Raw genomic sequence first — 27,804 nt, 5'->3', positions numbered from 1 at the left:
AGGCTCCCCTGAGCTATGTGTGAGTTCAATGGGAGAAGGTGTGGGTCTGGTGGTACAGTGGGGTAGAGGGGGCATGGTGTAGGAGGGAGCAGTATTCCAGATGCCAGGTTGGAAACTGAGGTCAGAATGGGGGATCTAGTGGACTGAATGCATCTCTCTTTTTAAGATACAGGGAAAATGGCAACAGAAAGTGGGTTCTAAGTTGGCCCCCAAGGTTGAGGGAGCTTAGAGCATACAAATCAAATATTTTGTGGGCACCTGCTATATTCCAGGAATAGCAGTGGGTCTTCCCTTAAGGTACTCACAGGCCACTGGAACAGATGGACACATGGGACTCTGTCATCCATCTGCTTGCCGTGTGGTCTTGCCATTTGCAAAGGAGGGGCATGGACTCTGAGCTCAGATAAAGTGTGGGAAGGCTTCACTTCCTGGGTGACTTTTGTGCTAGTCCTTCAGCAATGAGACTCCCTTCAGGTAGAGAACAGTGCAGACAAAGTCTCAGATGGGTGTCAAGGAACTCAGGGTCAGATCCTTGAATCCAGCCTGTGACCCTTTTAAAGGGTAGACTGAGCAGGCTGGTGCCCAGCTGTGGGTGTGCTGTCTCTCTGGTTAGGCTGGCTCGGTGCTCACAGGGAGTGCCAGGGGTTGCATTTGGGTTCAGGATTCCAAGCTGGCCTGAGACCTGCTGCTCTCCTGAAGGAACCAAGCTGATGTCTGGACGGGAGCAAGTCTGGAACTGACTGGATCCTGGAATGAGAGCTTTTCTTTTTCTCTTTCTTTTTTTTTTTTTGAGACGTAGTTTTGCTCTTGTTGCCCAGTCTGGAGTGCAATGGCATGATGGCTCACTGCAACCTCCACCTCCCAGGTTCAAGCGAGTCTTCTGCCTCAGCCTCCTGAGTAGCTGGAATTACAGGCGTGTGCCACCACACTCAGCTAATTTTTTGTATTTTTAGTGGAGATGGGGTTTCACCATGTTGGCCAGACTGGTCTCGAACTCCTGACCTCAGGTGATCCACCCGCCTCCGCCTCCCAAAGTGCTAGGATTACAGGTGTGAGCCACCACGCCTGGCCCCAGAATGAGAGCTTTTCTAGCAGAACCGATTCTCTGGGCCACCACACAGGGTGGGTGAGGGAGGCAAAACAGAGTGGCAGGTCTTAGAGAGGTCTGCTATTGAGAGGGTGTGGGAGCTTCCAGAGCCTGGCAGTCTCCTTGGGAAGAGCCATCCCAGTCTGGTATGGGGCTTTCCCATGTACTTTGAGCCTGAGGTTGACCCCAGTGGCTTCCTTTAGAGCAGAATGATTAAGTGTGTTTCCCGCAAAGCTCAGCTCCTAGCCACACTCACAGAACAGATCATAGAGTCAGGCATAACGAGGCATGATGCCAGCAAGTCACGGCCATTGCCGTGGGCTCACTGGGAGTTGGGTTTGGTTGTCTGTAGAATCCTACCAGAGCCTGGGACAGAGGGGGTCCATGAGAGTTCCAGGTGACTGGGGTGTGCCCCATATGATTTGGGGAGTAGGGGAAGCCCTAAACTAGCATCTCAGATTTAATTTGAAACTCAAGAATCTACTCTGAATGCATCTCTCTTTTTAAGATGTGGGGTGTTTCAGGGTTGATCCTACTTTCTCTTGCTAGCCTGGGTGTAGGCTTCAGGTTGAGACAGAGTGCGCTGAGGTCACCTCCCATCCCCTCATGGAGAGGGGTCCCTATCCCATGGCACTTGGTGGCACTGCTGCTGTCTCCTTAAGCAATGCTTTGAGCTTTCCACAGACAGGATTGATAATTTGAAATCTGTCAGCTCCAGCCAGACCTGTCTGCATCTGCTCTCCCACATGGCTTTTTCCATTCCCTTCTTCCCTTGCACACTCACCCAACTAGCCCTGGAATGTTCTTGTCCTCTATATGATTCTTCACGTATTTGCAGGCCCAGCTCAGATGGTTCCCTTTCCCAGAAGCCTTTCCCAGCCCTCGGGTAAAGGTTTAGTGCTCAGAACTCCAGAACACTCAGTTTTCTCCCCAGCAGTACACTTTTACACGTCTGCCCATTGTGGGTTAGGAGTTGCTTCCCTTCATGCCTCTCCTAGCATCCTTAGAACCCCTGGGGTTCTTTTGTATCCGCAGGGCCAGTCTGTGGCTGCCCTGTGATTGGTGCTTGGTGAAATGAATGAAAAGGGGATTTACTCTAAATTAGTCCAGCATCCCATCCTGCTTTCCTGGGAGACTCCCAGTGATTGAGGGAAGGAGTCATGGTGGGGAATGGGGACAGAATTCCGAGGGGTAGGATGAAGAAATAGCCTTAATTCTTTAACTGAGTGGCTCCCAGGAGCTGTTGCAGAGCCAAAAAGAGGCAAAGGTGAACTGCCCTGGACGTGTACCCCTGTTGAGCCGTAGGTTACACTGGAGTCAGCATTCTTCTGGAGAGTCTTCTGCAGAATTCACATTCTGGGTCAAGAGCCCAACCCCACAATGTGAACCTTGTGCTCCAGGAGCAGAAGACTCAGGCCGACTGGGGGCTAGGGACGGGTGGGCCTATGGGAGGCAGGCTGGCCACTGAGTATCCCTGTGCCTTCCCTGGCTCTTCCCCAGGTCCTGACTCCACACAGCTGTCTCTTGGTTTCTGTGTATGCTTGGCACCCCTATCCGCCCCAGGAGACAGAGGTGCAAGGTGGAGGTTGCTGGCCAGTTGCCTCGAGGTCCTGTTCCGCCGTGGCAACCCTCTCCAGCCTGGCGCTTACGGTCTGGTGCCCAGTGGGCTGCCTGAGCATCTGTCTGGTGCCTGGCCCCACGCTGGAGGCTGAGGGGAGGAGGTGGCTGGTCCTTGGCTGGCCTCTCCTACTGGGAACTTAGCGGTGTGACCCTGTCTAGAAGTGGCTCCACATTTCATTTTTTTTTTTTTTTTGAGAGGGAGTCTCACACTGGAGTGCAATGGCGCGATCTCGGCTCACTGCAACCTCCGCCTCCCGGGTTCAAGTGGTTCTCCTGCCTCAGCCTCCCGAGTAGCTGGGATTACAGGTGCCCACTACCATGCCTGGCTAATTTTTTTGTATTTTTAATAGGGATGGGGTTTCATTATGTTGGCCAGGCTGGTCTCAAACTCCTGACCTCGTGACCCACCCACTTCAGCCTCCCCAAGTGCTGGTATTACAGGCGTGAGCCACCGCACCTGGCCAGTGGCTCCACATTCTAGTGCAGAGATCTTTCCTTGTCTGTGCGGTAGACCCCACGGGCATCAGTGAAACCTACGTACCATTCTCGGCATCAGGTTTTTTTTTGTTTTTTGTTTTTTGTTTTTTTTGAAACGGAGTCTTGCTCTTTCACCCAGGCTGGAGTGCGGTGGCTTGATCTTGGCTCACTGCAACCTCCGCCTCCCAGATTCAAGTGATTTTCCTGCCTCAGCCTCCCGAGTGGCTGGGATTATAGGTGTGTGCCACTATGCCCAGCTAATTTTTGTATTTTTAGTAGACACAGGGGCTCACCATGTTGGCCAGGTGGTATCGAACTCCTGACCTCAGGTGATCTGCCCATGTCGGCCTCCTAAAATGTTGGGATTATAGGCATGAGCCACCACACCTGGCTGGCATAATGTTTTTAAATGTATGAAATAAGTACATAATATTACAAAAGTAAAACCCAATTATATGGAAATACAGGTATCAAAATGTTACATAAATTTGAGACAGGGTCTCGCCCTGTCCCCCAGGCTGGAGTGTAGTGTTGCGATCTCAGCTCACTGTAGTCTCCGCCTCCAGTGCTCAAGCGTTCCTCCTGCCTTAGCCTCCCGGGTAGCTGGGACCACATGCACAAGCCACCATTCCTGACTAATTTTTGTGTTTTCGGTAGAGATGGGGGTTTTGCCATGTTGCCCATTCTGGTCTCGAATTCCTGCCTCCCGCAGTGCTGGGATGATAGGCATGAGCCACTGCGCCTGGCCCAACTACTTTAACTTTGAAGTTGTGGGGAGCAAAAGTGATATTTTGAGATACTGGAAGAGCAATAACATGGTATTAAAATACCTTTGATTTTTGTTGGTGACAGATTAACATGCATTGCTGACACTGAGTAGTTTGTTGCTTATGTTAATAACTGAAGAAAATGTAAATTCGAATTGGAGGTTAGAGAAAATAAAGGTACAGCTTTTTCCCATCTAGTAGATGGAGCCCCTGAATTTGAGGATGAATCCTTGGGGGTCCCTAGGCCTTAGGTAAGAGCCCTGCACGTGGCTGTTGAGGAGAGGGTGTCCCAGTACTGATACGGGGGTGTGGGTTGTGTGGAGACAGAGACGGCTTGTGGGGGCAGTGGCATCATACCCTCCTTGAGGACTGGCCTCAGTCTTGGTCACTCCGTTCTTGGTCCTGGGCTGCTTACTGGGTCTTGGTTGTTTCCAGGGCAGCGGGGGTCCTGGCCTCTGGGGCTCAGAGACTTGTTCTGTGGGTCTCTGAGGCCCTGGAGCTCTTGTGCCTTGTCTGTCTGCAGCAAAGCATGGCTTATTTACCCTGGGACCTGGGGATGATAATGGCTTTTGCCTTTTAAATTCTGGGTGCCAGTTAACAAAAGCTGCAGCAGAAACCTGTTAGAGATGTTTTGTTGGTGCTACATTTGCCGAATTTGCAGGAAGAATTCGTCTGTGTTGACTCTGAGCCTGACAGTCTCTCTGGGGGCTTGGTTTATGCCATGGGAAATCAAAGGGCATGTCTCTATAAAACTTTATTACTTGGTGTCCTGTAATTAATGACTGTAGCATATTGCCTTGCCTCGTGGCTCAGGCTAGCCCTTCTTATGCTCAGAGCCCTGCACAGGGTGGGTTCTGTTCTGGCGGAGCCCCATGGAGAAATAAGCATGGTTGTAGATTTTCTTTGCAGTGGCAGCTGAGTGTTCAAGGAGAAGGTGGCTTATCAAGTTTTCTGCTCAGCCCTTGGGATCCCAGTCTGGGTGCCCTGAGAAATTTGTCTCTCAGAAGGTTCTGAACAAGGGGAAGGCCAGCCCTTCTGTGAGCATTACAGGTGGGGGCATGGTGTCAGGCCATGGGGAGCCAGCACCTGTTATGATTAAGGAGTGTGGCCAGGCAGGGAGAGGGGAGTGTGGGAGAGGTGGGCTGGGCTGGGCTATGCAGGCTGGTGGCTGAGGATGGGCATTTTCGGCCGGTCATGCTATTCGACGACTGTGGCTGAGGCTGTCCATAGCAGGGTCTCGGTGTCATTGCCCCTAAGCTGTTGGGGATTCTGCAGAGACGAGTTTTGCCTCTGTGCCCATCCCACCATGGGCTTTCCTGAGTGAAGGGAAAGGGCGTGGGAGGCCATGGGGGATATCCGAGCACAAGGTGCTGGTGACTGCACTTTTAGCTCCTGACAGCATGGCCATCTGGGATGTGGTCATGTTTACGAACTCTCACCGACTTCCCTCTGCCCTTTCATCCCAATGGCTGAGCGTGGCAGAAAAGCAGCCCCAGCCCAGAGGAAGCTCTGGCCGCTGGTGTCCACCCAGCCACCTGCTCACCCTCCTGGGAGGGTAGGAAGGGCACGTGGGGGAGCGGGCGGGGCTCTAGTCATGTCAGCATGTGCGGCTGCTTCTGACCCTCCACCCTTCCTGGGCAGGCTGGGACTCCAGGGCTGCTTCCTGCCCTGCTGCGGCTGATGTGGCATCTTCTCATCCCACAGCTGTGTGTGTGGCCCCGTGTGTCATTCAGCAGATATGTGTTGAGCGTTTGCTGTGTGTCAGGCAAGGCACCAGGCGAGGGCACGGCAGTGACCGAGGCAACCTGGAGCTCCATCTCCCAGTGTTTCCACCCGAGGCGGCGGGCCGGAGAACACCAGGAAGCACCAGGCAGCACCCGCTGCGTTTAGGTTGGAAGGTGCTGTGTGCTAAGTGTTGTGTTAGCCAGGGACCTGGCCCCACGTTAGGAGTTTACTCCAGGGGGCCACTAAGGAGAGTTGAGAGAGGGGACGATACACAGAGCTGTGCGAACGTTAAGGGAAGGCAGGCACATGAGGCTAGGGGCAGGAGGAGAGGGAGGAAGACAGTGGAAAGAAGAGTGGGGAACCTGGTCAGAAACCCAGCAGGGGCTGTGCTGTGGGGCAGGGCGCTGTCATCAGAGCAGCGGCCCTGGATGGAGGGGTGCCCCCAGCCATTTAGTTCCAGGGTCCCCAGGGAGGGAGCCAGGGGAGTGGATCCACTGTCTTCCTCCCTCTCCTCCTGACCCCAGCCTCATGTGCCTGTCGTTGGCTCAGTGCGCCTGGAGACAGGAGGCAGCGTGCATGCTGAGGAGGTCGGGTAGGTTGGCCTCTGGGCACAGTGCAGGGGGGTGTATCTGGAGGGCAAGTGGGGAAACCTCAGGCCAGGGACTAGTAGGGGATTGGGCAAGGAGAAGAGCTGCAGGTTCAAAGAGGGAGGCCGGGGAAGACCATCCGGAAAAGGTCGTATTGGAGCCAAGATGTGCAGGAGGTGTGACCTGCTCATGTGACCCTGGCAGGAGGGTCAGGGCCTCTGAGGGTCCCATGTGAGGTGAGTGTGAGGTGCCCCAGACCACTTCACCGTGCTGTGCTGTGAGGGCAGGTTTCATCCACAGCTTCACTGCAGTCCCCAGGCAGAGCTCTCTGCTCGCACCAGCTCTGGGATGTCCCTGCCTCCTTGACCTCCGTGCCCACCCACTGCCCCCTGGCTGGAGAGCCGCAGGGGCTCCCTCCTGCACACCCTGCCCCTGCTTACTCCTCCTCCACCTCATCCCCATTATCTCTCCACACCCGGCCTCCAGCCTGCTTGCTGGGACCACCATCCGTTTTTTCATTCATTCCATAGATACCGACACCTGCTCTGTCCCTGCCCTCAGGGAGCTTACATGTTACCTGGAGGGCCAGCAAACAAATAAATGAAGAGTGATGGGGGCTCTAGAGAGACACGAAGAGAGCTGGGGGATGGGGTGGGTAGGAAAGGGGCATTTCTGCAGAGGCTGGGGTGGGTAGGAAAGGGGCATTTCTGCAGAGGCTGGGTAAAAGGGCATGGGATGCCCTTGGGAAGAGCATTCCCCACAGGGCGCCGCAGCGGCAAAGGCTGGAGTGTTCTGGGGGTTTAGGGAAGAGCGAGGATGCCCGTGCCACAGTAGAGGAAGCCAAGGGTGAACTGGGGGTCTGGATCCCTTGTGGCTGGGGAGTGAAGTCTGCACTCAGAGAAGCCAGCTGGCACGGGGTTGGGCAGGGAGTGTGTGCTGGGATTGGCATTTTGAAAGGGCCCTTCTGGCAGAAGGTGCAGACCAGGCCACGGGGAAGTTGCGGCCAAGAGCACCGTTGAGAGTTGCCTGCAGTTGTCCAGACGGGACATGGGGAGGTGGCCCTGGGGATGGGGATGTGCAATGAGGGTAGACCTTGCTGGTGGCCAGGAGGTGGGATGAGATAGGAGGCCAGGATGGCCTTTGGGACTGTCCAGGTGCAGGTGCTTTGTGTCGGGGGAGGCTGGGGAGGAGCGACTTTGGTTCAGGTGCATCTTCTGCCTGCTGAGGGTGGCTGATGGGTCTGTGAGTCTGGAGCTGGACATCATCAGTCTGCAGATGCAGATGGTCCTTTGAGCTGAAGGACTGGGTAAGCTCAGCTGAGCTGAGGGAGGGAGCCAGTTAGGGAAGAGGCCCCAGGGTTGGGCCAAGCTGGCCTCTAGCAGGGAGGTTGAGCCGGGAGCCAGGGGCCTGCCTGGTAGGGAGCCTGGACCGGCTGCTGTTGGAGAAGGTTTCCGCAGAGAGAGTGGCCCCCAGGGTCATGGGCACCAAGTGGCCAGTGAGGACTGGGGACCTGCTGCAGATTCGGGAGCGTGGGGTCACTGTGGCCTGCTGTGCAGTTGGTTGGGGGGCAGAGGAGCAGGGGGGTGGAGTCAGGACAGCATGGGTGGTGGAGGGGAGACAAGCCCCTGTGGTCCTCAGGGGGATCAGTGAGGGGCTGTTTCTGGGTCATAAGTAGGTGGAGCTTGGGCAGCTTGCCCCGTGCTGATGGGGGTCCCACGGCAGGCTCGGGCCTCCGGTCACCCCGACCTCAGGTGTGGGCATGCTTGGAGATGCTAACAGAGGCCTGTGTGGCGGTGTGTGCTCTTGCCTCTGCAGACCCTCGTTTTGGCTGGGGAATGAAACCCTGAAGGTGCCGCTGGCGCTCTTTGCCTTGAACCGGCAGCGCCTGTGTGAGCGGCTGCGGAAGAACCCTGCTGTGCAGGCCGGCTCCATCGTGGTCCTGCAGGGCGGGGAGGAGACTCAGCGCTACTGCACCGACACCGGGGTCCTCTTCCGCCAGGTGAGCCTCCCCGCTTGGCCACAAGTGAGCAGGTGTGTGATGGTGCTGCTGTCCTGAGCAGGAGTTGGAGGCCCCAGCTTGGCCAGTGCTGCCCCTTGTGGCCCTCCCTGAGCCTCTGTTTCCTCGCCTGGGAAGTGGTCCAGGGGCTCCTTGAAGATGTAGAACTTGAAGATGTGGGGCAGCGGGTGGCCCAGCTGCAGGAAACCAGCCTGGCCATGGTGGCCATGGCTGAGAGTCACTGGCAGCACTCAGTCCCCAGGCACAGGAACATGAGGACACCCACCCAGGAAGACTGTGAGGCTCTGAGCTGGGCCCACTTTCACACATCTTAGCATTATACCCATTTTGCAGATGAGAAAACTGAGGCTCAGAGGGGAAATGACTTGCCAAGAGGTGGAGCTGGGATTAGAACTTTGTCTTCCAACTCTAAATCTAGTGCTGTTTTCTCCCCGCTGCCATGCCCAGAGCTGGAGCCTGACCACAGCAGGAACTTCAGAACCTCTCTGGGGCAGGCAGAGCCTAGGGAATGTGTCCATGCAGCATCCTGGCAAGAGGAGAGATGGGAATGCGAAGGGGAGCTGAGTGTGGAGAGGATATGGGAAGGCGTGGCTTCCCTAGCTGGACCCTGTCGCCCCAGCAGGCCACAGATGGGCTGAGACCCATTGCTGAGCGACCGCAGACTGTGTTTTTTCTTTACTAAAAGCACCTCCTGCCTGAAGGGTCCCGTCTCTCCACTCCATTGTTCGCGCAGCTGCAAGCCTGCAATCCCATGGCTGTGAGAAACATGGAGGTCTAAATAAGTTTTCTCTGGCTAGTCTTGATGCTTCTCCAGGTTTAAATACTCTGCGGCTTAAAAACCGATTTCCTAAATTCAGCTGTTGGCTCCCTTTCTGATGGTATGCAAGGCTAATTTTGGAAGAGATCCTCCTCCACCATACCTTTATGACGTCCTTTTAGCGCAGCATTCATCCCTAAACACTGAAGTCATCAGCCGTCCCGGGGGTGGGAGAGGGAAGTAAGAAGTCTTAAATGGAGGAATCCATTTCTGTGCAGATATCCGGCCTGGGCGTCAGAATCCGGGGGGCGTCTTGCCTGCCTGCACGTGGCAGAGAGGCAGGGTTGAGCTGGACGTGTGGTGCTGCTGGACGCCCTGTTGTGGGCCCGGGGGTGGGGATACAGGTGGACTCAGGCACATGCCTGACACAGCATCAGGGAGGGCTCCCAGCAGGGTAGAGGAGCTGCCAGGCTGCCCCCTGCCAAACTACGGGAGGATGAGCTGGGGAGTCGAGTGCTGAGGGGAAGGGATGTCTGGGGCTGGGGTCAGTTACAGGAGGCTGTCGGTCTGAGCTGGCTCTCTAGGGTGCTGTGATGCAGCCACCGGTCCCTCCTTGCACCTCATGTTCCACTGGCTAACAATAGTTCTTGTTCCCGCCACAGGAGTCCTTCTTTCACTGGGCGTTCGGTGTCACTGAGCCAGGCTGCTATGGTGTCATCGATGTTGACACTGGGAAGTCGACCCTGTTTGTGCCCAGGCTTCCTGCCAGCCATGCCACCTGGATGGGAAAGTAAGGAGCAGCCTGGCCAGGGCACCATGGCTACCAACCATGGGCTGGGGGTGGGTAGGGGAGGTGGGATGAGAGAGCTGGGTTGGGCCTGGGGACGGGGAGGAGGGAAGAGCTGCAGGAGGAAGGGCATGCGGTCAGGGCTGTCACAGCCTGCCTCTCGCCAGAGCCCTGCACCCTTGGCTGGGAAGGGATGTTAGAGCTGGAGTATGACTGTGTGGTAGGAGTTATTGAGAAATTGTTTTAGGTAGATAGAGAGGAAAAGGGGTCCTTGGGAAGTTTTCTGGTAAAGCCCCAGCTCCTAGAGCCAGGCCGGCAACCTTTGATATGCAAATGCAGGCCATTAGAAACTGGGTCCACCCAACATGGCAATTCCCAAGGCCTTCTTACCCTTGCCTCACATGTTCCTGGCAACATGGCCGCCCCACATGTGTAGAACATCCCCAAATATCCCCACATGTGTAGAACATCCATGGCTCCCTGCATTTGCATATTAAAAGACTAGGGTGGGAGAGCCAGCTTTTTAGTGGGCTATGTGAATAACATGCGTGGTCAAACCAATCCCCTGAGCCCTATGTAAATCAGACATCGCCCCTTCCAGCCTCTGCATATATACTTGGCTGGTGTCCACTGCACTTGGGGACCTCCTCTTTTGGCTTTGGAGCCCCCCTCCCTCTGTCTCCATATGGAGGAGCTTCTTCCTTCTGTCTTCTCCCTTCCTTCTTGCCTATTAAACTCTCCGCTCCTTAAAACCACTCCACGTGTGTCCATGTCGTTTTCTCTAATTCAACTCGAGACCAAGAACCCTGGTGTTCCTCCACTCATCAGAGCCCTGTCAACTGGGGGCCTTGTTTGTTTAGAAGTGCAGTTTGTTAATCCTGAAATTCTAGCTTCTCCGTCTGTGAAAATGCCTGAGGGTTTGGCCCTGCGAGGCCGTCACTCCTGCATGGCATCGACAGGTGTGGCATGGCCCTGTGCGTGCCTGAGGGTGGTGGGTTGGGTTTGGATCGGGGAACCGCCTCTCTGAGGCCCATCGCTGATATGCTGGGTGTGTTATTTGCTGCCTTCCTCTGGACGCAGCGCAGGTCCTGCCCTCCCGGCTCACCTGTGAGATAGAGCAGAGGCTCGGGCTGCTGGGCACCCTCCTCCACCCTCCATGGTGCCTGCTGTTCCAGGTACTCCCCACCGCCGAGGAGCTGTTCTGCCTGCTCAGTGGTGCCAGGGCGGACACTGTACTTAACCAGGGAGGTTTGAGGTGATCAGAGGATCCCGCTAAATGCTGGCTGCCTCACTGCGTGTCATCTCCGCCTGGAGAGTGATTATTCTGGGCTAATGTATAAATTGCAGCCTTTGCTGCCTGGTGCCCCAGAATGCTCATTACCAGGTGGGCTGCAGAGGCTGTGGCTGGTTTGAGTGACAAGGCCCCTGGCTGCCACAGGGACTGGGCTCTCTGCTGAGGACTGGGGCCACAGTGGAGCTTCCCCTGCTTCCAGTGCTACCCTCCCTTCAGTGCAGACTCCGTTTCTGCCTTCGTTGGCCATGGTGTGTGCTGCTCCTGCTGTCTCAGGGAGAGGGGTTCAGGCTTACAAGTTGGTAATCATTCTGCTCTTAGGCCACTTGGCAGGATCCCAGCCTGGCAAGACTGGGATCTTTGCTGGGCAGGACTCAGCCTGGAGCACAATTGGCAGCAGAAGAAAAGGGGACTGTTTCTCCTGGGGGTGGTCTCCTGGCTCGGCCCCTGGGAAGAAGGGCACGGAGTGGACACACCCGGGCCAACTGCCTTTGGGGCTTCTGCCGGGCTGCCCCTCGGAGGCCCTGGCCTGACAATGCCTTCCCATCCTGTCGTGATCTTTATTGTCGACCTTTATCCCATTCCCGGTGGAATCCTTATGACTGCCCTGTTACAAAAGAGGAGATGGCTCAGCGTGCTGGTGTGACCTGTGCAGGTCCTGCAGCCAGGTCTTGCTGGAGCTGCAATTGGAGGCTGAGCTTGCCTGCTGGCTAAGTGTGGCTTCTGAGAGGCCGTGGGGCTTGCAAGTGGGTCTGGTCATGTTTGGGGCTCCAGTTCCTTCTCTGTGATGCTGCTCTGGAGGCCCCCCAGGACTGGAGTTACAGTGCTGGCCACTGTATCTCTGACACTGACATGAGGCAGGGATGGTTCCAGGAGGCAGATTGTCTTGTCCAAAAATGGCCACAGCAGTGTTTCTGGACACTCGCTGTCTGCAGGTGACATCTATTTCCCTTCTGCCTGTCCCAGGTCTGGGCCTCATGACGGATGTGGCAGTGTTGCTGTGTGACGTCTGAGGCTAGACTGTAAACTGCACTGTGGCTTCCACCTGGTTCTCTCCCATGGGGTACTTGCCCTGGGAACCCAGCCGCCACATCATGAGGAAGCGCAGACTCCCCATAGGGGGACCCCAGCCGCCAGCAGCACCAGCCGCCAGCGTGCATGAGGCCCAGCCTTCCATCTGCTGAGGTCCTAGATGTGGAGCAGAGCTTTGCTGTCCTCTCGGGGCTCGGTCCAAATTCCCGACCTTCAGAGTCCATGAACATGATTGGTGGTTTTGCACTCCACTAAGTGTTGGAGTCGTTTATTCCCCAGCCGTTGTAACTGGGACAGCAGTGACGAAGAGTTTAGGTCTGCTTTCTGCAGGAGGATTCTCCCAGCATCCCCTCTCTACCCAGAGCAGAGTTGTGGCCTCAGCCTTTCTTGCAAGGGGCACGACTCAGGACGAGCGAGGGCCCCTGTGCCAGGGTACCCTTGGCTCCGGGTGACACCTGCAGTTTTGACCTGGCTGCCCTCTCGCCTCCTCATGGCCCTCACTGCTGGCTCAGAGCCTGTTGACATGTCCCACTGCTCAGAGAAGTAGCTCAGCAGTCAGGTCGGATGCCTCCTCTGTGAGATGTGGGGATGGACAGAGAAGGAGAAACAGCTTCAGGGAGGGTCTGATCAGGGGCTAAACAGGGCCCCACCTGGGGTTTCCAGGGGTTTCCAACAGGGGTCTCCCCTGTTGGAAAAGGCTGTGTACATGCTGGGCAGGTCAGATCAGGCAGCCTTGGTCCCGAGGGGGCATCTGGCCCCATAGCTGAGAGGTAGAGCCTTGTGTCCTGCTGTCCTGGCTCCCTACCACAGCCACCCCGAGCAGGCCTCTCCGTTCCACTGTCCTGGAGTGACCCTGTCTGAGTCTCCACATCCTGAGCCCTCAGGAGAGAAGGCTCAGTTGTAACAGAGCAGTGGTGGCGGGGTTGACTATGTGGGACTGGAGCTGGGGAGTGGCCAGATCTGATTGCGTATGGCTGCTTCCAGCCGCTCCTGGAATCAATAGGGCACCAGGAGCGAGGCTGACGGGAGTACCTGGCCTTTGCAAGCAAAACCCACCAGACTTCACATTTGACCTTCAGCTCCTCAGCTTCCTTTTGAGTCCCTATCTGATGGTTTTTGAAAATCCATCTGGCAGATACTGCAATCCAAAGTCGCCCAGGGAAACGACACCCCCGTCTGCAGGATCTGCCGCTTCCTGTGGAAACGGTCTTGCTGTTGTCAGGGTTGCAGACGCCAGGGGCCGTGGGCAGCCTGAAGCCGGCCCACTCCTCACCCCAGGCCTGTTCTGGGATGGGGAGGGTGGTAGCTCTGAATGCATTTTTATTCAGAGTCTCTGCTAACAATAGTGTGTGGTGTCTTTTTGATGTGAGAGCATTTCCCATCATTTTTCATCGGAGTTGGGCTTAGTGGAGGGTGGCTTTGGCTGTGGGCCTCTGTGAGTCAGCGCCCCAGGCAGCTTCGGAGCCCAGAGTTGGGGAGCCAGTTTGACCAGGTCGGGGGACCCTCCTGGAACCTTTGTAACGCATTCCGTCCCCGGCTCTGGGTATGCAGGGAGGGGCGCTCAGCCTTCCCAGGGCCATACCCACATCTTGTGTGAGAGATGGATGCGGGTATGGTGGGAGGGTTTGCACATGCATGGTGTATGTGTGGGGGGCTGTGTGTGCATATGGAGTGCACACCTGTGTGTGGTGTGGTGCATGTGGAGGGGTGGGTACGTATGGATGTGATGTGGAGAGGACATATGTTGGGGGTGTGTGATGCATGTAGAGTATGTTGTGTGGGGGGGGCATGTGCTGTGTTTGTGGTGTGTAGGGTGTTTGTGATGGGGGTGTGTGGTGTGTAGGGTGTTTATGAGGAGGGGTGAATGTGGGTGTGCGTGTGCTGTGTTTTGTGTGTGTGGTGTGTAGGGTGTTTGTGATGGGGTGTGTGTGTGGTGTGTAGGTTTTTTGTGATGGGTGTGTGTGTGGTGTGTGGTATGTAGGTTGTGATGGGAGTGTGTGTGTGCTGTGTTGTGTGTGGGTGTGTGAGGTGTGTAGGGTGCATGTGAGGGAGTGTGTGTGGGCATGTGTGTGCTGTGTTGTGAGTGGGCATGTGTGGTGTGTAGGGTGTTTGTGATGGGAGTGTGTGTGGTGTGTAGGTTGTGATGGAAGTGTGTGTGTGCTGTGTGTGTGGTGTGTAGGGTGCATGTGAGGGTGTGTATGGGTGTGTGTGGGTGTGTGTTGTGTAGGGTGTTTGTGATGGGGTGTGGTGGGTGTGAGTGTGTTGTGTGTGGGTGTGTGTAGTGTGTAGGGTGTGATGAGGGTGTGTGTGTGAGTGGTGTGTAAGGTGTTTGTGATGGGGTGTGGTGGGTGTGAGTGTCCTGTGTTGTGTGTGGGTGTGTGTGTAGTGTGTAGGGTGTGATGAGAGTGGGTGTGTGAGTAGTGTGTAGGGTTTTTGTGATGGGGTGTAGTGGGTGTGAGTGTGCTGTCTTGTGTGTGGGTGTGTGTGTAGTGTGTAGGGTGTTTGTGATGAGAGTGTGTGGGTGTGTGAGTGTTGTGTAGGGTGTGGTGGGTGTGAATGTGCTGTGTTGTGTGTGGATGTGTGTGTAGGGTGTAATGAGGGTGTGTGTGGGTGTCTGAGGGGTGTGTAAGGTGTTTGCGATGGGGGTGTGGTGGGTGGGAGTGTGCTGTGTTGTGTGTGTAGTGTGTAGGGTATGATGAGGGTGTGTGAGTGATGTGTAAGGTGTTTGTGATGGGGTGTGGGTGTGAGTGTGGTGTATTGGGTGTGTGTGTAGTGTGTAGGGTGTTTGTGATGAGGGTATGTGTGGGTGTGTAAGTAGTGTGTAGGGTGTTTGTGATGGGGTGTGGTGGGTGTGAGTATGCTGTGTTGTGTGTGGGTGTGTGTAGTGTGTAGGGTGTTTGTGATGAGGGTGTATGTGGGTGTGTGGGTGTGTGAGTAAATAATGTGTAGGGTGTTTGTGATGGGGTGTGGTGGGTGTGAGTGTGCCGTGTTGTGTGCAGGTGTGTGTGTTGTGTAGGGTGTTTGTGATGAGGGTGTGTTGTGTGTTGTGTGTTGTGTGTTTTTCCCAGCTCTGCCCCACTAAGTGTCCCCAGGATCGAGGCTTCCCCAGCCTCTCTGGTGCCTCCCTCCCACGCTCCTTGTGATTGGCAGGGTGTCGGGGGCCCTCTTTGCCGTGCAGGCCTCTGAGAAGGGGCTGAGGAGCTCCTTCGGCTGCTGCCCGGGTGGTTTGAGGCACTGACCCTGGGCAGGCCTGGTCACTGGACCTGGTCTCCAGCCTCCCGGGCAGCGCTGTTCCCTCTGTGGCCCCTGTGAGGAAGCTTGCTCCGGGAGTGGTCTTTGGGCATAGGCACCTGCGTCACTGTGGCGAGGTCTGCTTTTGTCTCTGACCAGCTAACATCCTCAGATGGCTGCCGGCTTCCACCGCAGAGCAAATGCCGCTGCCTTCTGTGGAGAGCAGAGTGAGAGTCGGCGAGGCAGCATTGTTTGTAGCTGAAGGCAGGCCGGGCCGCGGGAAATGGATGGTGATGGCTGTAATTTGGCCCTGTTACTTATTCATTAATCGCATGCAGGTGGTCAGCCAGCCAGCAAGACCTGCTTTTTGAAATTTCATTTTCTAGAGGGCTCCTCGTGTCTGCACTGTGTGGCATTAATTTAATGTCTCCTTCCCACCCGTGGCCCCCACAGTTGCTGGCAGTCACTGCAGAGTGTGCAGTCATGGGCTTTGACTCCGGGGACTGGGAAAGGCCTCTCTCATCCATGCCAGGGCCCAACTGGGGTCCCTGGATGCTGACCCCTGTGGAGGACGAGAGCCCCTTTGGGTAGGAGGACTTCTCCTCTCTCCTCCCAAAGCTATCCTTGGCATTTGAGGGGAGTGTGTGTGGGGTGACAGCAGCTTCTCTGCTGACCCATCCTCCCCAGTCCAGTAATTTCTTTTTCTTTTTTTTTTTTGAGACAGAGTTTTGATCTCATCACCCAGGCTGGAGTACAATGGCACGATCTCGGCTCACTGCAACCTCCACCTCCCTAGCTCAAGCGATTCTCTTGCCTCAGCCTCCTGAGTAGCTGGGATTACAGCCACCACACCCAGCTAATTTTTTTGTATTTTTAGTAGAGATAGGGTTTTACCATGTTGGCCAGGCTGGTCTTGAACTCCTGACCTCAGGTGATCTGCCCACCTTGGCCTTCCAAAGTGCTGGGATTACAGGCGTGAGCCACGGTGCCCGGCCTCCAGTCTGGTTGTTTCCATCCAGACTTCCCATGCGATGGGGCCTGACATGAAGTACCGTTGCTGGACCCCAGACTCCCCACAGGGCAGGGTGCAGGCCCTCCCTCTGAGTGGCTGCCTCCTGCCCTGGCCAGCCTGGCCTCAGGGAGTCCAGAGCCCCTCAGGGGCCTCTCCAGCCAGCTTTGCAGGGCTTGTGTGGCCACACCTCTTCTTTTCTCATCAACCCCACCAAATCATGGCTGCCAAGCCTTCGGTGGCTGGTTTGACGTGGGAGTCTGGCACGCATATCCCTTAGGATGACGTTTAAATGGTTTTTACTATAATTAGCCCCCAAACATGAAAAATAAGTACTATCTAAACTTAATTATCTCTGCCCTTTAAAAGAGAATGCAATGCACAGTTGCCAGAAAAGCTGCTTGCAGCTTTTCAGGTTGTATCTGTCGAATGGCTCTTCTGTTGAGAACCAGACCTCTGGCTTGGGAGGCGCTTTTTGGCAGGAGGGGCGGGAATGCATTTCCTGGTGGCTTCCCTCCGCACAGTTGGGGTGAGTTGGGAGGTTTCAGGCCCATAACGGGAGTGGAAGTGACAAGGTCAGGTGCCACACTGATGGCTGAGATGCCCCTCTGTAGGGCGCTGGCCTCAAAATCAGATCCTTTGTACTTCCCCACTCTGCCGTGAGGTTGCCTTCCACTCCTGTCACAGCTGGAGGCAATGAAGGGAGGGGGCTAGAGGCAGAGCTGGGAACAACTGAGGGACGCAGGGTGTTTGTTATGGAGCCAGAAAGTCCGAGTTGATGTGTTGATCCCAGCCACGCATTTCGCTGATGGCCCTGCCTTTTGTATTTCTGACACCTGCTTTTGTGCCGGGCTGTGGGGTCAACTCGGTGCTGAGAGTGTGGTTGCTCAGTAGCAAAGGGTCTGTAGGCTTCCCTTGAGCCAGCTGCACAATAAGCCCTGCGTCTGGGGCCTCCGAAGTCCAGGCGAGGCGCTCGTCATCAATTCGTGCCCCATAACTGCTCGAGGCCGTGCTAATGGAGGTGTCAGACCTTGGCCATTTAACTTTTGAGTCCTGTCTCAAATGCACAAGTGAATGTGACTGAATCATGCAAATTTAATTAACAGCAGGAGCTTGATACCCCGTGATCATTTCAGAGAAGCCAAAAGGGAGAGAAAGCAAAGGGCATTGTGGGCTGCACTGAGCAGTCCATTGATTACGGTGAGACCAGCGTCTCCCGGGCCCTCAGTGCTCCTTGTTGTTGCTCCCTGCAGCCGTCCCTGGGCCCTGTGGCCAGTACTTCCTGGTTTGGGTGGGGAGGGAAGTGGTGGAGGACTCAGAGAGAGGAGCAGATTCTGTTTCCTGCAGGTGATGCTGGTCCTTAGTGTCACAAAGGCTGAGAATGGCACATAGGACACCAGTTCAGGAGCTCACTCGTGAAGTTCATCACCTCCAAGTCCCAAGGTTCTCTCCCTCCACCGTGTTCCGTGGGGTTCTCCAGGCACATTATCCTTGGCACCCACAACACCCCCCCCCGCCCCCCAGTTATCCGTAGAGGGTCTTGACTGCAAGTTGTCCAGGTTGTTGCCATTTTGAACAAAGAATTGGACAAAACACACAAAGGAAAGAATGAAGCAACGAAAGAATGAAAGCAGAGATTTATTGAAAATGAAAGTGCACTCCACAGTGTGGGAGCCGGCTGAGCAGAGTCTCAAGGCCTAGTGACAGAATCTTCTCAGGTCCAGATACCCCCAGGAGGTTTCCCATTGGCCACTTGGTGCTCGCCTGGTGTAAATGAAGTGGTGGCCTGCCATCAGTCTGATTGGTTGTGGAAAGCAACCTTTGTAACTTCACTTCTGCAACCAATCAGAGGCTAAAGTGAAGTTACAAAGTTGCGTTTCTTTGCAAACCAAGACTCTACTTGCAATCAGAGGTACTTTCAATTTCCCATCTGCCTCAAAAAAAAGGGGGGGTTTGCAAAGGGAGCAGCCTCTGGTCCTTTGTTACTTAGGTGTGGAAAGTTAGGGTTTTCCTTTCAATTTAGTTCTAGGAAGTCAGCATGAAAAAGCCCTAACGCCTCCCGACCCTATTCTCCTGCCTCACCACCACCCCTTGACAGCCCAGGAAACACCATCCAGAAACCATCTGCTGTTTTTTTGTCTGAGGCCTATTTGGGACCCAGCACCTGGTGACTGTAACACTGTGAGGTCACAGACAGCTGGAGGGCTGGAGCACGGCTGGGGATAGAGCCCGTGTGATGAGGTGGGGCCCAGGTGTGGGATGACATAGGACCGAGTATGTGTGCGTCATTGGACTTGGCTCTCAGTGTCTCCCCTGTGCAGTTTGTGTTCCTTTCCCCTTGCGTAAGCTCTGTCACTAACAGAGACATTGACTTATCTCCTGACCAAGAGCCTGGGGGTGGTGGCTTGCTGGACCCAGGCTGGAGGTCTGCCTAGCACAGCTGTGACCAAAGGGCCCATCAGGAGGTGGACGAGGGCTGCCCAACCTCATCCATTCTGTGTCTTCTCACTGGCAGATTTTTCAGGGGTAATGAATAAGCTTGAGTTTTTCTCATCACATTGAGTAATACTGATACTGACTTTCTAAAAATGCTAATTTTTGGCTGGGCACAGTGCCTAATGCCTATAATCCCAGCACTTCGGGAGGCTGAGGCAGGAAGATTGCTTGAGACCAGGAGTTTGAGGCTGCAGTGAGCTATGATTGTGCCACAGCACTCCAGCCTGGGTGACAGAACGAGATGCTGTCTCTAGAACATAAAATAAAATAGTAATAATAATAATTATTATTATTTGAGATGGAGTCTCGCTCTGTCACTCAGGCTGGAGTGCAGTGGCACCATCTTGACTCCCTGCAACCTCCGCCTCCTGGGTTCAAGTGACTCTCCTGCCTCAGCCTCCCGAGTAGGTGGGAGTACAGGCACCCGCCACCGCGCCCTAATTTTTTGTATTTTTAGTAGAGATGGGGTTTCACCGTGTTAGCCAGGATGGTCTGGATCTCCTGACCTTGTGATCTGTCTGCCTTGGCCTCCCAAAGTGCTGGGATTCTGCGGCTGACCTTAAAATAAACTTTCCTTTAAAGATGCTCCATGAAGACCTGGCAGGCAGATTGTTTTATGCCACAGAGGGACGGGTGCACTGGCTGGCTGCCCTGGTGGACTGTCTCTGGCAGTGGAGGGGATGATAGGGGTTTTGTCTGCAGGGGCTGGCTGCAGGTGGCTAGGGTCACGGAGGAGCGGGGCTTGCTGAGGAAAGCAGCTGTGGTTCAGCCGTCACTCCATGGCCTAATGGCCTTTGCCCTCCAAGTGTGTGTTGGGCCGACCTGTTCGGTGCCGGGTGCTGGGTGCTGGGTGCTGACCGTGATAGGGATGGGACTGGGGCTCCATGGCCTGGGCTTGGCAGGCAGGAAGGTGGCCATGCTGAGCCATTACCAAGCCCTGACCCTGATATTCCTTGTGCTTTTCTTTGAGGATCCATTCCAAGGAGCACTTCAAGGAGAAGTATGCCGTGGACGACGTCCAGTACGTAGATGAGGTGGGTAGCCGGCTCCTCCTCTGAGCAGCCCAGGGCTTCCAGCATGCCTTCCACTCCTGGAGTTCCTCTCCTTCCACTGCCACAACCTTGCTGGATGTCAGGGACACTACCACCTGGCCACCAGTCCCTGCGCCGCAGGTGCTCCCATTTGGAAGGAGTAGGCAGCAACCCATGCCTCAGGCTTCTCTACGGAGCCATTGCTTTGCCTGGGAAGGCCCCTGACTCTGTGGGTAGAAGTGTCTGGTGACCTGGGTTGTGGCCGCTGAGATTACATGAGGTGTCTCTGAGAGGCGGGCCTGCCTGCAGCGGTGGCACACGGTCTAAGTCACCACAAGGCTGGGCCGGGGTCTTCGTGTGTCTCGAGCCCTGGTTGACTGCAGATGCCACTGTCAGAAAAGCCCGAGGCTGTGAAAGGCTTGTAGAGTAGCATTGGAGGTCCCCTGACTTCAATCCACTTCTCAGTGGGGTTGTCCAGCAGGTGTCGTGTGGCCTGGGTAGGCATGTGGCTGTCCTCTTGGGGTTTTGAATCTGTGCCAACCAAGTTCAGGCAGGTCAAAGGGGCTGCCCTGACTCCTCGACTCCAGCTCTCCTTCCTGCCAGTGGGGCAGGGCTGGGACAGAGGCGAGAGCACAGCTGGGAGCCCCTGTGGTCTACTTGACCAAAGGCCCTGACACTAAACCACTGCCTGGCACACAGGAGGCCTCTGTGCTCTGGCCCTGGGCGCTGTCACAACCCCACGTCCTGTGCAGGTCAGTGCCGTGTAGAATGTGAAGCACCCAGAAGTCAATGCCTGCCACTGGGAGTCCAACCTGGACCTGGCAGCATCAGCTTTGGACAGGGCCATCCTGTAGCCACATTTCCCCAGACAGAGATTATGTGTCGGCCATGCTAAGAGCCGGGGCTGCAGTGTGGAAGTGGCCAGGGGAGCCAGTTCTGGCGGCCAAGCAGCTTCCCCCTTCCCCTGGGCAGGACACAGCCTGGTTGAAGATGACGGCACTGGGTGAGAAGCAGGTTCCCAGGGATCATGGCCAGACACAGTGCTGTGAGAGACCAGTTGTCTCTGCCCAGCATGTGGGGGCCCAGCCCGGCCCATCCAGCTCGGGGGTGGCCAGCCCTCTTTGACTGCAGGTGGGCCAGTACCATGTGCCCAGCCCTGCCCCCGGTACTGCTGTCCTGGAATATGTTTTCCATTTCTCTGTCTTTCTCCTATCCATCTTTTGAGGCCTTGCACCAGCCTTGTAGCAGCCACTGTATCTGCTGTAGACTCTGGCCCACACTGGTGCCCCTTCCCTGAGCCCTCAGGACCAAGTTGTGGACACCATGGACGCTGACTGTGTTCTGATGTGCACCCTGCCCTTGACTGTCTTGTATTTGTCTTGAACGTCCAGTTCTTTTTCCCCAGACGTTCCTCTTGCACTCTTTCCCTGCCCAGTCCCAGGGACATGTAGGGCATCAGAGGTGGCCGAGACCCAGGGCTGACCTCAACAGCCCAGGGCACAGTCCAGTGCAGGAGGTGACCACATGAGTGAACAGTCACCGCAGGGTGGTGGTGCCTGGGCAGAGATCCCTGGAAGAGCCTCTGTGAAGGGCACTGCCCACCTCTACAGGGCCACGGGGGCCTGTCTCTACAGCATCTTCTGCCTGGTTGGACTGTGGAGAGAGGAGGCTTTTGATGGATCTTTATGTTATGTTATTTCAATCCCAAGCTTTTGGGGGTGACTCTTAACATCTGAAGATTCTGTCAATACACATGTGACCTATCATATTGATCCCGTTGAGTACAGGATCTAAAATAGACGGAACGTTTATTTGCATGCTCCCAATGAGACCATCTGCCACTTGCCTTGTATGTCTCAGAAGTGGAGCAGGAGGCACCTACTCCTTCATTCTCGTTTTCCTTCCGACCCTCTCCTTGGCAGATGTGTTCCCTGCCCCAGAAACTGTTTCTTAACACTGTTGTCCTTTGAAACCTTGACCCTTCAGGTCTCTTCGATGTGAAACCTGGAGGGGCAGCCTGGGGTGGGCCCTGTCTCAAGGACCCTGGCGGGATGGGCACCTGCCTCCAGGACCCTGTCTCAGGGATCCTGGTGGAACGGGCACCTGACTCCAGGATCCTGTCTCAAGGACTCTGGCGGCATGGGCACCTGCCTCCAGGACCCTGTCTCGAGGACCCTGGTGGGATGGGCACCTGCCTCCAGGACCCTGTCTCAAGGACTGTGGCGGGATGGGCACCTGTCTCCAGGACCCTGTCTCAAGGATCCTGGTGGAATGGGCACCTGCCTCCAGGACTCTGTCTCAAGGACCCTGGCAGGATGGGCACCTGCCTCCAGGACCCTGTCTCAAGGACCGTGGTGGGACCGGCACCTGCCTCTGCCCTGGACTCAGCTGCTGAGTCCGAGCCACCTCTGGACCACAGCCTCCCCAGCCACTGTCTGACATTTTTGTCTTTATAACTGGGGGAAAATTCAGCTCCGTGTCTACTGTGATTTCTGGGGGTGAGGAAGGAGAACTGGTCTCTAAGCAAAGTAAGAGACAGGCCACCTTGAGTGTTAGGGCAGGGAAGTTGTTAATGGTTGCACAGAATGACAGCACAGAGACCGGCTCATTCTTCGTCTTCGTATACAAAGCAGATTGTCGAGGCTTCAGTAGAGTTCAAAGGCTAGAATCTCTTTAGGGTTCGGGAGCACCCCACCGCACCCCGTCAACGCCACTGCCATTGCAGATTGGTGTTGATGTTACTGTTACTGCTGCTGTTTTTACTGGGAACAAGGCTCACGTTGACAGCAGAGCAAGCGCTTCATGCTGGGGCGGCCCACGTGGGCTCCAGTAACACTAGAGCTCTCTTGGAGCCCCTTGGCCCTCCCGCTGCGGGAGGGACACAGCGGGGCAGGGACTGTGCTGGGCCGTAGCCCCCACCCCGTTCATAGATATGAGGCTGAGGCTCAGAGAGAAAGGCCTCGTCCACAGTCCCACAGCTGGAGGGGAGTGGTACTGGGATGTGACGCCAGGGGCCTCCCCTCCAGGCCTCCCTTTCCCCTCAGAAAGGAGGGCTGCTGTAGGACACTCCTGTGGAGGCGACATGGACTCCCTGTGCCTTTGATTTTCTGTGGCTCTGAAGGGAGCCTGCCAAAAAGTGTGACTTGCTGGACTGAACCCCCTGAGCTGGGAGGTATCCCAGGTTGCTTGAGGTACCCAGGGCCTGTTGCATCATGGGAGGTTACAGGAAGCCCTTTATGCAGGGAAGGGGTCCCCAGGCTGGTTCTGCAGTGCTCAGCCCCATCTCACTTGGGGTGGCCTTAGCTGTCAGTGACAAATCACAGCCAACGCTTGTCTCCTCTGAAAAAAGGCAGGAAGGCCTCCAGTGCCATGGCTGGTCACGTGATAGCATGTATGCCATGCAGGTGTCTGATGGGGCACAGCTGGCTCCGAGGTTCCCTCCTCCCCACAGAGGATCCTGAGTTTATTGAGAAGGCAGTTCCCCTGAGAAGGAGGCATTCAGCAGAACCTTGAGTGGGGCCCCGAGGCTCTGCCGTGAAGGCCCTGTGCAAAGGCTGGCGGGATCACCGGCTGAGAGCTGGCAGGTGAAGCGTGCGTTCCATGCACTTGCTTCCCTTTATGGCGCCAGGCATATGTGAGAAGGTCCGAGGGTCACCAAGTCTGCTACAGGCAGGACAGATGTAAGAGGACAACCGCAGCAGCACAGGGACAGGCATCGGAAGCGATGGGGTCAGCAGGGGCCACTGTGCTGTGGGACCACGAGCCCATGGCTCCAGGAACCTGATTGTTCAGGAGTAGCCACACATCCAGACTGTTGGTGATGTTTCCTGATGTTTACATTTGAGAAACAAATTTGAAATTGTAAAAGCAGTGCAGGCCACCAGCGTGCAATACTGTTGGAGGAGAATGCCACGAAAGAAGGTTTATTTTCAAAAGCTTCAGTGATTGCAGGGCAGAGCCAGCTCTCTGGAGCCTTGCAGGCTTTCCCAGCGCTGGCAAAGGCATATCCAGCTTTTTTGTCCAGCTTATCACCCTGCGAAAAGCGGCCCTCGGGCCTGGTCTGGGCCCTGGTTAGGAAAGTGCAGGAGGTGTCCGTGGGAAGCCTCTGATTGTCCCCAGGGGAGGATGTACACCCACAGGGCTCTGATGAATTCTGCCCGTGACCATCCAGCTCCATCTGCCAGAGAGGCCGGGGGCTGCCGGAGAAATCGATGCTGGCTCTGGCATGAAGCAAGGCAGGGTCATTTAACAGCGCAGGGTGTGAGAGGTCCCCAGTGGCCACCACTCCGTGGAAACGAGGCCCTGAGTTGACAGAGCCGTGCTGTCTTGTGTGCTGGGGATACATCGGGAGCCAGCAACGCACAGCGCGTCGTGTTCCCTTAATATTTGAGGCACGGAGTCAGGGTGTGCTGATGAGAGCGTAGCACTAATGGGTCTCCATGGGGAAGGGCGGGTGGAGCTGCCAGGTCGGGAGAGGTTTTTGCAGCCGCAGAAGTAACCAGGGCCCACTCAAGCAGTTGTGATCAATAAAAGATGTTGCCCTGCCAGGACTAGGAGATGCACAGCCTGCTCTCAGAGTCAGGCCTGGATTGTCTGAGCACCGGGCTGCAAGGAGACGGCTGCTCTCCCCTCCTCCATTATTCCTAACCAGCATGTCCTGAGAGTCGTCGCCCGGAGAAAAACCATCAGCCCACACATTTGTTATCCTGCTCCTCCCTCCCAAGACGATAGCAGATACAATCCCCAAGTGCCTCCTGGCTTTCTGATTCAGCTGCTGTAATTGACGGGCTCCTTCTGTGCAGCTGAATGCAGAACATTCACATCAACGTAACAACACACCTAGGGCCGGCATGTGTACCCCTGTTCCTTTTAATAAGTCTCCCCTTCCTTCAGGAGGGGCTGAGGGTGTGTAGGGACACAGCTGAACCTTTTGGGTGTTTTTTTTTGTTTTTTGTTTTTGATACTGAGTTGCATTCTTGCCCCCCAGGCTGGGGTGCAGTGGCGCAGTCACGACTCACTGAAACCTCTGCCTCCCAGGTTCAAGCGGTTCTCCTACCTCAGCCTCCCGAGTAGCTGGGATTACAGTCACCAAGCCCGGCTAATTTTTTTGTATTTTTAATAGAGACGGGGTTTCATCATGTTGGCCAGGCTGGTCTTGAACTCCTGACCTCAAGTGATCCACCCGCCTCAGCCTTCCCAAAGTGCTGGGATTACAGGCATGAGCCACCACACCCAGCTGAGCCTTTTGTTTTTTTGCAACACTGAGGCCAAAGGACACAGCCATTCTCCAAGCAGTCACTCAGTAACATGAGGGAGGATCCCGGGAGATTGTTGATACATGTCTGGAGGATCATTGGGCCAGGAGCATGGTAAACCTTGACAAAGTCTGTGGCTTTTGACCCAACAGTTTTAAAGGCATTTAATTTTTTTTTTTTTTTTTGAGACAGAGTCTCGCTCTGTCACCCAACAGGCTGGAGTGCAATGGCATGATCTCGGCTCACTGCAGCTGCCGCCTCCTGGGTTCAAGCGATTCTTCTGCCTCAGCCTCCTGAGTAGCTGGGACTACAGGCACGTGCCACCACACCCGGCTAATTTTTAGTAGAGATGGGGGTTTCACCATTTGGCCAGGCTGGTCTCGAACTCCTGACCTCGCGATCCACCTGCCTCAGCTTCCAAAAGTGCTGCGATTACAAGCATGATCCACTGTGGCTGGCTGGCATTTAATTTTAAGGAAATACTTGTATGCGAGGATGTTCATCACAGCGTTATTTATAATTGCTAATTATTAGATGTAATTTTTTTTTTGAGACGGAGTCTTGCTCTGTTGCCCAGGCTGGAGTGCAGTGGCGCAGTCTTGGCTCACTGCAAGCTCCGCCTCCTGGGTTCATGCCATTCTCCTGCCTCAGCCTCCTGAGTAGCTGGGACTACAGGCACCCGCCACCACATCCAGCTAATTTTTTTTGTATTTTTAATAGAGATGGGGTTTCACTGTTTTAGCCAGGATGGTCTCGATCTCCTGACCTCGTGATCTGCCTGCCCTGTCCTCCCAAAGTGTATTAGATGTAATTTAAGTGTCCGTAGAGGAATGAGTAGTGTCCATTAAGAGAGTATTCTACAGCCATAGGTTCAAATCTGGGCTGCGCTGTTATTTTTTAACCAGACTCAGGCAAGTTCTCTAATCTGTAAGCCATTCTCATTTGCGAAACCTGCATGTTTGCCGCACTGTCTCCCCGTGTGGTTAAATGAGATGCTGTGTGTAAGATGACTGGCACAGGCCGTCTTCAGCGACCTACTGGACGTTTACTGTCCCCAGCGGTAGTGACTGCTAAAAATTGCATGTTTGAAGAACATATAATGACAGGAAATAAGTGAAGCATGTAATTTCATATGATCCAAATGTCATTACAGATCTCTGTTTTTATGAGCAAAGCTAAAATGTCTCTGGAGATAGGATTGTACGTGCATTTTATCTTTTTATAGTTTTCAATACGTTCCAGGTTTTCTTGGGAGGCATCTCAGTATTAAAAAAGGTATATGTATACATATGTCAAAACTTATCAAAATGTCTATGTTAAATACAGGCAGCATAGAGTATGTCAGTGATCACTCAATCAAGCTGTTAAAACAACAACAAGTTCTCCTCACTCTCCCCCTGCGTTTCGGGTGTAAAGAGTTAGGATAGGGGTGTGGGGAGAGGCGAGGGCTGTGGAGATGAGACTGTTCTCTGCCCAGGGGGTGCTCAGAAACAAGAGGGTCTGCAGTAGCCAAGATGCAGGCCAGACTGAGGAGGAGGGGCTGGCAGAGGAAGAAATTGCTCCCAGCAGGCTGGTTGGCACATGGCACTTTGCTGGGGGAATGGTGACTGTCAGTGGGGCAGTAGAGGAGGGAGTGAACGAACCTGCCCAGGGGGCTGGGGCTTTCATCCTGAGTGCACATTGATGAGGCACTAAGATGGGAAGAAGGCACTCAGGGAGAGATAAGAGCTGGAGCAGAGGCGTGGAGAGAGGAGCTGGCCCGGCATGCAGATGCAAGGGCTTGGGCCGGGAAGTAACTGGCTTGCAGTGGCAGGAGGTCCAAGTGGGTCATGGTGGAGGGACAGAGAGTGGGCTGTGGGGTGGGGGCCAGAGGGTGGGATTGGGGAAGGCCAACTCCCTTGGGTCTAGGGGTTGAATGGGGAGCAGGGAGGGAGTCTTCTGCCCTAGGAACCAGAGGCTGGTAGGCCTGGAGCCTAAAGGGTTCCCGGGGGACGGGTCTTTGAGCAGGGACTTTGCAGATGGGCAGAGGGGCTGGCCTTGGAGGGTGGGTAGGGCTGGCTGCTTGGAGCCAGGGATCTGTGTGGTGCCTGGAAGCAGGGCGGTGCGGTGGGAAGCGAGCCAGGTGTAGGTTTATCCTCTCTGCCCCTCGATGGCTGTGTGGCTTTCAGAAGTCCTTCAACCAGGGGAAGCTGGGTTTCTTCACCTGCAGGGTGAGGGCAGCGCCCACGTCGCCTGTTCTAATGATCTGCTTGATAAATGTGCACTGTCATTATGAAGGAATGGTGGCATGTCATCTTCATTAGGCTTAGTGGTGCCTCTAAAGTGGGTTTTTCTTTCCGACCTTCTAGATTGCCAGCGTCCTGACGTCACAGAAGCCCTCTGTCCTCCTCACTTTGGTAAGTGGCTGGTGTCCAGGGGTGGGGCAGTGCTTGGCTCTGGGGAGGGTTTTTATGGGGGCCACCTCTCCTGCAGAGGTCGGGCCCATAGGGGAGGATTAAAAAACGGAGAGGGGTTGGGTCCAGGGGCTCACGCCTGTTATCCAAGTGCCTTGAGAGGCAAGGTGGGAGGATCGCTTGGAGCCAGGAGTTCCAGGCCAGCCTGGGCAACATGGCAAGACCCTGTCTTTACAACAAAT

At 55.2% G+C, this 27,804-nt stretch overlaps 1 protein-coding gene across 3 annotated transcripts in view, besides 2 other annotated features; it reads left to right on the top strand.

Annotated features, from left to right (window-relative positions):
• Positions 1-27,804, top strand: part of PEPD (peptidase D) — a 134,842-nt gene that overhangs the window by 937 nt on the left and 106,101 nt on the right. For 2 of the 3 annotated variants that reach the window (NM_001166056.2, NM_000285.4), the window contains exons 2-5: positions 8,079-8,262; positions 9,700-9,827; positions 19,854-19,917; positions 27,518-27,565. In NM_001166056.2, the coding sequence (NP_001159528.1) occupies positions 8,079-8,262; positions 9,700-9,827; positions 19,854-19,917; positions 27,518-27,565 (424 nt within the window). The remainder of the gene's footprint in view (positions 1-8,078; positions 8,263-9,699; positions 9,828-19,853; positions 19,918-27,517; positions 27,566-27,804) is intronic. The other variant, NM_001166057.2, reaches the window with a different exon arrangement.
• Positions 9,779-10,577: an enhancer, noted in NCBI's record as "OCT4-H3K4me1 hESC enhancer chr19:34001184-34001982 (GRCh37/hg19 assembly coordinates)". NCBI's record gives its function as "activates a minimal SCP1, AML or CMV promoter by ChIP-STARR-seq in naive H9 embryonic stem cells {active_cell/tissue: H9 hESC(naive)}" and the evidence as "EXISTENCE:reporter gene assay evidence [ECO:0000049][PMID:30033119]".
• Positions 17,023-17,739: an enhancer, noted in NCBI's record as "NANOG-H3K4me1 hESC enhancer chr19:33994022-33994738 (GRCh37/hg19 assembly coordinates)". NCBI's record gives its function as "activates a minimal SCP1, AML or CMV promoter by ChIP-STARR-seq in naive H9 embryonic stem cells {active_cell/tissue: H9 hESC(naive)}" and the evidence as "EXISTENCE:reporter gene assay evidence [ECO:0000049][PMID:30033119]".

Source organism: Homo sapiens, chromosome 19 (genome assembly GCF_000001405.40).
Source record: "Homo sapiens chromosome 19, GRCh38.p14 Primary Assembly".
NCBI lineage: Eukaryota > Metazoa > Chordata > Mammalia > Primates > Hominidae > Homo > Homo sapiens.
Note: the sequence above shows the minus strand (reverse complement) of the source record. Positions and strands in the feature narration are given on the sequence as shown.